The 12,001-nt window shown below is 39.7% G+C and overlaps 1 protein-coding gene across 1 annotated transcript in view; it reads left to right on the top strand.

The window, feature by feature from the left end:
• The window catches only part of UGT2B17 (UDP glucuronosyltransferase family 2 member B17), a 39,150-nt gene extending 32,468 nt beyond the window's left edge, over positions 1–6,682 (top strand). Inside the window, exon 7 of the mRNA NM_001077.4 lies at positions 5,951–6,682. Within this exon, the coding sequence (NP_001068.1) occupies positions 5,951–6,230 (280 nt within the window). The 3' untranslated portion in view covers positions 6,231–6,682. The remainder of the gene's footprint in view (positions 1–5,950) is intronic.

The following is a 12,001-nucleotide window of genomic DNA, read 5'->3' as shown; positions in this document are numbered from 1 at the left end:
TCATTCATTTCATCTTCCATCACTGATACCGTTTCTTCCAGTTGATCAAATCAGCTACTGAGGCTTGTGCATTCATCACATAGTTCTCGTGCCATGGTTTTCAGCTCCATCAGGTCCTTTAAGGACTTCTCTGCATTGGTTATCTAGTTAGCCATTCATCTAATCTTTTTTCAAGGTTTTTACCTTCTTTGCCTTCGGTTCGAACTTCCTCCTTTAGTCCGGAGTAGTTTGATCGTCTGAAGCCTTCTTCTCTGAACTCGTCAAAGTCATTCTCCATCCAGCTTTGTTCCATTGCTGGTGAGGAGCTGCATTTCTTTGGAGGAGGAGAGGCATTCTGATTTTATAATTTCCAGTTTTTCTGCTCTTTTTTCCCCCATCTTTGTGGTTTTATCTACCTTTGGTTTTTGATGATGGCGATGTAGAAATGGGTTTTGGTGTGGATGTCCTTTCCGTTTGTTAGTTTTCCTTCTAACAGTCAGGACCCTCAGCTGCAGGTCTGTTCGAGTTTGCTGGAGGTCCACTGCAGATCCTGTTTGCCTGGGTATCAGCAGCGGACACTGCAGAACAGTGGATATTAGTGAACAGCAAATGTTGCTGTCTGATTGTTCCTCTGGAAGTTTTCTCAGAGGAGTACCCGGCTGTGTGAGGTGTCAGTCTGCCCCTACTGGGGGGTGCCTCCCAGTCAGGCTACTCGGGGATCAGGACCCACTTGAGTAGCAGTCTGTCCATTCTCAGATCTCAAGCTGCGTGCTGGGAGAACCACTACTCTTTTCAAAGCTGTCAGACAGGGACATTTAAGACTGCAGAGGTTTCTGCTGCCTTTTGTTTGGTTATGCCCTGCCCCCAGAGGTGGATCTACAGAGGCAGGCAGGCGTCCTTGAGCTGCGGTGGGCTCCACCCAGTTCAAGCTTCTGGGCCGCTTTGTTTACCTATTCAATCCATGGGAATGGCAGGCGCCCCTCCCCCAGTCTCACTGCTGCCTTGCAGTTCGATCTCAGACTGCTGTGCTAGCAATGAGCGAGGCTCCGTGGGCGTAGGACCCTCTGAGCCAGGTGCGCGATATAATCTCCTGGTGTGCCGTTTGCTAAAACCTTTTGGAAAAGCGCAGTATTAGGGTGGGAGTAACCCAATTTTCCAGGTGCCATCTGTTACCCCTATCCTTGGCTAGGGAAGGGAATTCACAGACCCCTTGTGCTTCCCTGATGAGGCAATGCCTCGCCATGCTTTGGCTCACACGTGGTGCGCTGCACCCACTGTCCTGCACCCACTGTCTGACAGTCCCCTGGGAGATGAACCCAGTACCTCAGTTGGAAATGCAGAAATCATTCCTCATCTGTGTCATTCACACTGGGAGCTGTAGACTGGAGCTGTTCTTATTCGGCCATCTTGGCTTCTTCCCACAGTAATTTATATATTCAAAGCTATTCCCATCAAACTACCATTGACATTCCTCACAGAGCTAGAAAAAAACTACTTTAAATTTAATATGGAACCAAAAAAGAGCCCATATAGCCAAGACAACCCTAAGCAAAAAGAACAAAGCTGGAGGCATCACGCTACCTGATGTCAAACTATACTATTAGGCTACATAACCAAAACAGAATGGTACTGGTACCAAAAAGATGTATTGACCAATGGAACAGAACATACGCCTCAGAAATAACATTACACATCTACAACCATCTGATCTTTGACAAACCTGACAAAAACAAGCAATTAGGGGAAGGATTCCCTATTTAATAAATGGTGTTTTGGAAAAACTGGTTAGCCATATGGAGAAAACTGCAACTGGATCCCTTCCTTACACCTTACAGTAACCAAACCAGCATAGTACTGGAACAAAAGCAGACATATAGACCAATGGAACAGAACAGAGGCCTCAGAAATAACACCACACATCTACAGCCATCTGATCTTCGACAAAACTGACAAAAACAAGCAATGGGAAAGGATTCCCTATTTAATAAATGGTGCTGGGGAAACTGGCTGGCCATATGCAAAAAACAGAAACTATACCCCTGCCTTACACCTTATACAAAAATTAACTCAAGATGGATTAAAGACTTAAATGTAAAACCCAAAACCATAAAAACCCTGGAAGAAAACCTAAGCAACATCATTCAGGACATAGGCGTGGGCAAAAATTTCATGACACAAACACCAAAAGCAATTACAATAAAAGCCAAAGTTGACAAATGGGATCAAATTAAACTAAAGAGCTTCTGCACAGCAAAATAAACCATCATCAGAGGGCACAGGCAACCTACAGAATGAGGGAACATTTTTGCAATCTATCCCTCTGACAAAGGTCCAATATCCAGAATCTACAAGTAACTTAAACAAATTTACAAGAAAAAAAACACCACCACCAAAAAGTGGGCAAAGGATATAAACAGACACTTCTCAAAAAAATACATTTATGCAGCCAACACACTTATGAGAAAAGCTCAATATCACTGATCATTAGAGAAATGCAAATCAAAACCACAATGAGATACAATCTCATGCCAGTCAGAATGGAGATGATTAAAAAGTCAAAAAACAACAGATGCTGGTGAAACTGGGGAGATATAGGAAAACTTTTACATTTTTGGTGGGAATGTAAGTTAGTTCAACCATCATGGAAAACAATGTGGTGATTCCTCAAAGATCTAGAACCAGAAACACCATTTGACCTAGCAATCTCATTACTTGATATATACCCAAAGGCATATAAATCATTCTACTGTAAAGACACATGCACATGTATGTCTATTGCAGCACTATCTACAATATCAAAGATATGGAACCAACACAAATACTCATCAATGATAGACTGGATAAAGAAAATATGATGCATGTACAGTATGGCGGCATACTATGTGCCATAAAAAGGAATGAGATTATGTCTGTTGCAGGGACATGGATGAAACTCAAAGCCATTATCCTCAGCAAACTAACACAGGAACAGAAAACCAAACACCACATGTTCTCACTCATAAGAGGGAGTCGAAAAATGAGAATACATGGACTCAGGGAGGGGAGCAAAACACACCGGGGCCATTCGGGGCATGGAATGGGAGTGAGAGTATCAGGACAAATAGCTAATACATGAGGGACTTAAAATCTAGATGACAGATTGATAGGTGCTGCAAACCACCATGGCACACATATACCTATGTAACAAACCCACACATTCTGCGTATGTATCCTGGAACTTAAAATAAAACTGTTTTTAAAAAATGTGAACCGACCAGATGTGGTGGCTCAAGCCTGTAATCCCAGCACTTTGGGTGGCTGAGGAGGGCAGATCACGAGGTCAAGAGATCGAGACCATACTCCTGGCCAACATAGTGAAACCCTGTCTCTACTAAAAATACAAAAATTAGCTAGGCATGGTGGTGTGCACCTGTAGTCCCAGCTCCTCAGGAGTTTGAGGCAGGAGAATCACTTGAACCTGGGAGACGGAGGTTTCAGTGAGCTGAGATAGTGCCACTGCACTCCAGCCTGGTGACAGAGCGAGACTCCATCTCAAAGATCACAACAAAAAAGTGAACCTACCAGTACTCGCATTAAATTTAAACAGACCAAAGTAGACAAAATAATGATCTTTGAAAACTTTTATTTAAGGAGATAAAACATTTGAAGTACACAATTAAATGTAACCTATGTGTTATATGTGTGTGTGTGTATATATATTGCACATATATCTGTATATATGTATCCATACATATATCTCTGGTTGTGTGTGTGTAGACAGAAAATAAACATTTTTAAAAGAGTTTATGGAGACTGGGTGTGGTGGCTCACACCTGTAATTCCAACACTTTGGGAGGCCAAGGTGGGAGGATCACATTTGGTCAGGAGTTCGAGACCAGCCTGGCCAACATGGTGAAATCCTGTGTCCACTAGTAATACAAAACTTAGCCAGATGTGGGGGATGAGCACCTGTAGTCCCAGACACTTGGGAGGTTGAGGCATGAGAATCACTTGAACCCAGGAGACGTAAGTTGCAGTCAGCCAAGATCGCTCCGTCATACTCAAGCCTGGGTGACAGAGAGAGACTCTGTCTCAAAAAAAAAAAAAAAAAAAGATTATATGTATGAAATAGTTACTGGAATTGACCATATGCTGGGCCATAAAAAAATGCTAAGTAAATTGTATAAGATTCAAATTCATAAAAATAGTATGTTCTAGTCATACTAGAATCAAATTATAAATCATCCAGAAAATGATAACTAAAAACAATCTCTGATTCTTTAAAATAAAAAATATTTTTTAAAAAATTCAGTCAAAAAATTCTAATTATAAATATGCCTTTCTCTCATCAACTATTCTTCCAAGTATACATCCAACAAAAATGAATAAGTATGTAAATCTAATAAAATATATAAATATCTTAATACCATAATTATTAGTAAGATCAAAAAATGTTAACAACACAAATATCCATTAATCATAAATGAAGAGATCTGTGGTCTTTGTCAATCAACTGAATACTCTACACCAGTGCAATTAAACAACTGCTAAACAAAAACAGAAATGAATAAGTATTATTTAATTCAATTATATAAACATAATCTATGATATTAGAATTCAGGTTAATACTTACTTTGAGGATAAAAGTAGTGACTAAAATGGCCCAGGAGGAAAGAGTTCTTCTATGCAGTTTGTGATAAATTGGTGTTTTCACTTTTGGATAATGTTTAAGATAATCTTAAAATTTTGAGATAGTCACATAGCGTATATACATTTATCCTATGTATTTCATACTTAAACTTTTATTGTGGAAGATATATAACATATTTTAAAGTTCCAGAAATCAAATAGCAAAATAAGAACGAAGCAGTAGAGAAATCCTATGGGTGCCTATAGTGTGGCCAGGAAAACACTCTCTAAGAGGTATCATTTAAGGGGAAGCCTCAAAAAGAAATAGAAGCAAACCTCAAGTAGTTGCAAGAAAGAATGCTCAATGAGAGAGACACGGGGAACAAAAGGTGTAAACGGGCTAAGGTGAGAACACCTTCAGGAGTTTAAAGAACAACAGAAGGCCATTGTCTCTAGAAGAAAGTGTACAGGGGGAAAGGGTTAGGACAAGTAGGTGTCTGTGTAGCGTTCTCTAGACCACAGACAGATTTGGATTTTATTCTTAATGTAACAAGAAACCAGATGGAAATCTTGACAGGCAACTGTCATAATTTGACATTAATTTAGAAAATGTTCTGGCTACTAGTAGGAAAATACGGTAGAAGACAGAAGATTAGAGTAGAAGCTGAGAAACTAGTTAGGAGACATTTCACCAGTTGTGACACAATTCTTCTTTAAATATGTCAAAATGGGCTGGGCACAGTGGTTCATGTCTGTAGGGCCAACACTTTGGGAGACAGAGGCAGAATGATTAGACCACAGGAGTTCCAGATGAGTATGGGCACTACAGCAAGACCTCATATCTAAAAATGTAAAAAATAAAAAATATAGCCAGGCATGGTGGTGCGCAGCTGTAGCCCCAGCTTCTCATGAGGCTGAGGTGGAGGATTACCTGAGACCGAAACGGAAAGGCTGCACTGAGCCATGATCATGTGACTGCACTCAGCCTGTGTAATGGAGCAAAAGCCTGTCTCAAAAAAAAAAAAAACTAAAAATATCAAAATGATCATTCCCAGATTCTATTTCCACTATCTTACTTATAGCACTTAGAATGGCTCACAATATTTTCTGCTCTAGAAAAACATTAACTTTCCCACCGAAAATTCCATTTTTCATTTTTAAAGGTATTTGTCAGTGATAAAACTCCAATTTAAAAACCAAACTTTCTGTAATGACATACATTAAAACATTAATATTTTATGTCAATTCAATGACACTTACTTTGAATCACTTGTGTGGCGCTTTTCAAAGACCATCCATAGACTTGATATGCTTAAGCAATAAATTTACTTTTAATGTTGATATCTTTATATTTATCCTTCAGCTATAAAGAGAATATCATGAAATTATCAAGAATTCATCATGATCAACCGGTGAAGCCCCTGGATCGAGCAGTCTTCTGGATTGAGTTTGTCATGCGCCATAAAGGAGCCAAGCACCTTCGGGTCGCAGCCCACAACCTCACCTGGATCCAGTACCACTCTTTGGATGTGATAGCATTCCTGCTGGCCTGCGTGGCAACTATGATATTTATGATCACAAAATGTTGCCTGTTTTGTTTCCGAAAGCTTGCCAAAACAGGAAAGAAGAAGAAAAGGGATTAGTTATATCAAAAGCCTGAAGTGGAATGACCAAAAGATGGGACTCCTCCTTTATTCCAGCATGGAGGGTTTTAAATGGAGGATTTCCTTTTTCCTGCGACAAAACGTCTTTTCACAACTTACCCTGTTAAGTCAAAATTTATTTTCCAGGAATTTAATATGTACTTTAGTTGGAATTATTCTATGTCAATGATTTTTAAGCTATGAAAAATAATAATATAAAACCTTATGGGCTTATATTGAAATTTATTATTCTAATCCAAAAGTTACCCCACACAAAAGTTACTGAGCTTCCTTATGTTTCACACATTGTATTTGAACACAAAACATTAACAACTCCACTCATAGTATCAACATTGTTTTGCAAATACTCAGAATATTTTGGCTTCATTTTGAGCAGAATTTTTGTTTTTAATTTTGCCAATGAAATCTTCAATAATTAAATTATGTAAAAAGTCTCACTCTTCCTTTTGAGATTGCAAGACCAGTAGTGTTGCTTGGCTTTTACTGTGTATTCAGACTCAGCATCACTTCTTTCCTAGAAGACATGGCAAGTTTATTCCTAGAATGAAAGATAGTTTCACATACAAAAATTAACACGTATATTATACCACATTAACAGATACAGATCTACATAACAAACTAGAAAGCCTAGAAATAAATCCATGAATATATACAGCTAACTGATCTTCAATAAGAGTCCCAAATATACTCAATGAAGAAAGATGAGTTTCTTCAAAAAATGGTGCTGAGAAAATTGGATGTCCACAACCAAAAGAAAAAAGTGAACCCTTATTTTTTATCATATACAAAAATCAACTCAAAATGGATGAAAGATGGCAACATAAGACTAGAAACAGTAAAACTTTGAGAAGATGGAGATCTGGCAAGATGGTTGAATAGGAACAGCTCCTGTCTGCAGCTCTCAGTGAGACCAATGCAGAAGGCAGGGTGTTTCTGCATTGCCAGGGATCTTCCTCCCACAGCCAAGGGAAGCCATGAGGGACTATGCTATCCAGCCCAGATATTATGCTTTCCCCATGGTTTTTGCAATCCACGGAGCAGGATACTCCCTTCTGTGCTGACATCGCCAGAGCACTGGGTTGCAAGCGCCAAACTGGGGAGCTGTTTGGGCAGACACCAAGCTAGCTACAGGAGTTTTTTGTTGCTGTTGTTGTTGTTTTGTTTGTTTGTTTTGTGCCTGGAGCCCAAGTGAGACAGAACCATTCACTCCCCTACAAAGGGGACTGAAGCCAGGGAGCCAAGTGGTCTCGCTTAGTGGGTCCCACTCCCATGAAGCCCAGCAAGCTAGGAACCACTAGATTGAAATTTTCGCTGCCAGCACAGCAATCTGAAGTCAACCTGGGACAACCGAGCTTACTGGGGGGAGGGGCCATTACTGAGGTTTCAGTAAGCAGTTTTCCCCTGACAGTGCTAAGCAGGCCAGGAAATTTGTACTGGACAGAATTCACCACAGCGCAGCAAAGCAGCTGTGGCCAGACTACGCCTCTAAATTCCTCCCCACTCGGCAGGGCATCTCTGAAAGAAAGGCAGCAGCACCAGTCAGGGACTTATAGATAAAACTCCCATCTCCCTGGGACAGAGCACCTGGGGGAAGGAGCAACTGTGGGCAAAGCTTCAGTGGATTTAAACCTTCTTGCCTGCCAGCTTTGAACAGAAGAGTGGATCCTGACAAGGAGGATTCTCCCAGCAGAGTCCTCGAGCTCTGCTAAGGGACAGACTGCCTCCTCAAGTGGGTCCCTGAACCCCATGCCTCTTGACTGGGAGAGAACTCCCAGCAAGGGTTGACAGATACCTCATACAGGAGAGCTCCAGCTGGCATCAGGCCAGTGCCCCTCTGGGGCAAGGCTTCCATAGGAAGGAGCAGGCAGCAATCTTTGCTGTTCCACAGCCTCTGCTGGTGATACCCAGGCAAACAGGGTCTGGAGTGGACCTCCACCAAACTGCAGGAGACCTGCAGAAGAGGGAGCTGACTGTTGGAAGAAAAACTAGCAAACAGAAAGTAATAACATCAACATCAACATAAAAGACCCCCACACTAAAACCCCATCCAATGGTCATCAGCCTCAAAGATCAAAAGTAGATACATCTAGGAAGATAAGGAAAACTAGCGTAAAAATGCAAAAAAAAAAAAAAAAAAATCCAAAAACCAGAATGCCTCTTCTCCTCCAAATGATTGCAACTCCTCTCCAGCAAGGGCACAAAACTGGATGGAGAAGGAGTTTGCTGAGTTAACAGAAGTAGGCTTCAGAAGATGGATAATAACAAACTCCTCTCAGCTAGAGGGGAACTCATATTCTAACCCAATGCATGGAAGCTAAGAACCTTGATAAAAGGTTACAGGAGCTGCTAACTAGAATAACCAGTTTAGAGAAGAACATTAATGACCTGATGGAGATATAAAAAAAAAAAAAAAAACACAGCACAAGAACTTCGTGAAGCATACAGAAGTATCAATAGCTGAATTGATGAAGCAGAAGAAAGGATATCAGAGACTGAAGGTCAACTTAATGAAATAAGCAGTGATTGGTTTACCCAAAAGTGATGGGGAAAATGGAACCAAGTTGGAAAACACTCTTCAGGATATTATCCAGGAGAACTTCCCCAACCTAGCAAGACAGGCCAACATTCAAATCCAGGAAATATAGAAAACAACGCTAACATACTCCTCGAGAAGAGGAACCCCAAGACACATAATCATCAGATTCTCCAAGGTTGAAACTAAGGAAAAAATGTGTAGGGCAGCCAGAGAGAACGGACAGGTTATCTACAAAGGGAAGCCCATCAGACTAACAGTGGATCTCTCGGCAGAAACCCTACAAACCAGAAGAGAGTGGGGGCCAATATTCAACATTCTTAAAGAAAAGAATTTTTAACCTGGAATTTCATATCCAGCCAAACTAAGCTTCATAAGTGAAGGAGAAATAAAATCTTTACAGACAAGCAAATGCTGAGGATTTTGTCACCACCAGGCCTGCCTTACCAGAGCTCCTGAAGGAAGACTTAAATATGGAAAGGAAAAATCAGTACCAGCCACTGCAAAAACACACCAAAATATAAAGACTAATGACTCTATGAAGAAACTGCATAAACTAATGTGAAAAATAAACAGCTAGCATCATGATGACAGGATCAAATTCACACATAACAATATTAACCTTAAATGTAAATGGGCTAAATGCCCCAATTAAAAGACACAGATGGGAAAATTGGATAAAGAGTCAGGATCCATCAGTGTCCTATATTAAGGAGACCCATGTCACATGCAAAGACACACGTAGGCTCAAAACAAATAAAGGGATGGAGGAAAATTTGCCAAGCAAATGGAAAGCAAAAAGCAGCAGGGGTTGCAATCCTAGTCTCTGATAAAACAGACTTTAAAACAACAAAGATCAAAAGAGACAAAGAAGGCCACTACATAATGGTAAACGGACCAATGAAACAAGAAGAGCTAACTATTCTAATATATATGCACCCAATACAGGAGCACCCAGATTCATAAAAGAAGTTCTTAGAGACCTATAAAGAGACTTAGGTCCCACATAATAATAGTGGGAGACTTTAACTTTCCACTATCAGTATTAGACAGATCAATGAGACAGAAATTTAACAAGCCTATTCAGGATTTGAACTCATCTCTAGACCAAGTAGACCTAATAGACATCTACAGAACTCTCCAACCCAAATCAACAGATATACATTCTTCTCACAGCACATAGCACTTACTCTAAAATCAACCACATAACTGGGAGTAAAACACTCCTCAGCAAACGCAAAAGAACGGAAATCATAACAAACAGTCTCTCAGACCACAGTGCAATACAATTAGAACTCAGGATTAAGAAATTCACTCAAAACCATTCAACTACATGGAAACTGAATAACCTGCTCCTGAATGACTACTGGGTTAAATAACAAAATTAAGGCAGAAATAACAAAGTTTGTTGAAACCAATGAGAACAAAGAGACAACATACTAGGATCTCTGAGACACAGCTAAAGCAGTGTTTAGAGGGAAATTTATAGCACTAAATGCCCACAAGAGAAAGCAGGAAAGATCCAAAATTGACACCCTAATATCCCAATTAAAAGAACTGGAGAAGCAAGAGCAAACACATTCAAAAGCTAGCAGAAGACAAGAAATAACTAAGATCAGAGCTGAACTGAAAGAGATGGAGACATAAAACACCCTTCAAAAAAAGTCAATGAATGCAGGAGCTGGTTTTTAGAAAAGGTTAACAAAATAGACCACTAGCCAAGCTAATAAAAAGGAAAAGAGAGAATAATCAAATAGACTCAATGAAAAAAGTTAAATAGGATATCACCACTGATCTCACAGAAATACAAACTACCATCAGAAAATACTATAAAAACATCTCAACACAAATAAACTAGAAAACCTAGAAGTGGATAAATTCCTGGATACATACAGCCTCACCAGTCTAAACCAGGAAGAAGTCAAATCCCTGAATAGAACAATAACAAGTTCTGAAATTGAGGCAGTAATTAATAGCCTACCAACTAAAACAAGCCCAGGACCAGACAGATTTGCAGCCAAATTCTACCAGAGGTACAAAGAGGAGCTGGTACCATTCCTTGTGAAACTATTCCAAACAACAGAAAGAGAGGGAATTCTCCCTAACTCACTTTATGAGGCCAGCATCATGCTGATACCAAAGACTGGCAGAGACACAACAAAAAAGAAAATTTCAGGCCAATATCCCTGATGGACATCGATGCAAAAATATTCAATAAAATACTGGCAAACTGAATCTAACCACACATCAAAAAGCTTATCCACCACAATCAGGCCAGCTTCATCCCCAGGATGCAAGGCTGGTTCAACATACAGAACTCAATGAACATAATCCATCACATAAACAGAACGAATTACAAATACCACATGATTATCTCAATAGATGCAGAAAAGGCCTTTGATAAAATTCAACATGCCTTCATGCTAAAAACTTTCAATTCACTAGGTATTGATGGAACATATGTCAAAATAATAAAAGCAACTTATGACAAATCCATAGCCCATATCATACTGAATGGGAAAAAGCTGGAAGCACTCCCTTTGAAAACTGGCACAAGACAAGGATGCCCTCTCTCACTACTCCTTTTCAACATAGTATTGGAAGTTCTGCCCAGGGCAATCAGGCAAGAGAAAGAAATAAAGTGTATTGAAATAGAAAAAGAGGACGTCAAGTTGTCTCTGTTTGCAGATGACATGATTCTATATTTGGAAAACCCCATCATCTCAGCCCAAAAACTCCTTAAGCTGATAAGCAACTTCAGCAAAGTCTCTGAATACAAAATCAATGGGCAAAAATCACAAGCATTCTTATACACTGATAATAGACAAACTGACAGTCAAATCATGAGTGAACTCCCATTCACAAGCACTACAAAGAGAATAAAATACCTAGGAATACTCCTAAAAACAGTCATGAAGGATTTCTTCAAGGAGAACTACAAACCACTGCTCAAGGAAATAAGAGAGGACACAAACAAATGAAAAAGCATTCCATACTCACGGCTAGGAAGAATCAATATCATGAAAATGGCCACAGTGCTTAGAGTAATTTATAGATTCAATGCTATTCAAATCAAGCTACCATTGACTTTCTTCTCAGAACTAGAAAAAACTACTTTGCATTTTATATGGAACAAAAAAGAGCTTGTATAGCCAAAACAACCCTAAGCAAAAAAAAAAAAAAAAAAACTGGAGGCATCACTCTACCTGACTTCAAA

The sequence above is a fragment of the Homo sapiens genome, chromosome 4 (genome assembly GCF_000001405.40).
Source record: "Homo sapiens chromosome 4, GRCh38.p14 Primary Assembly".
Taxonomy (NCBI): Eukaryota; Metazoa; Chordata; class Mammalia; order Primates; family Hominidae; genus Homo; species Homo sapiens.
This window is presented reverse-complemented; position numbering and strand designations above follow the sequence as displayed.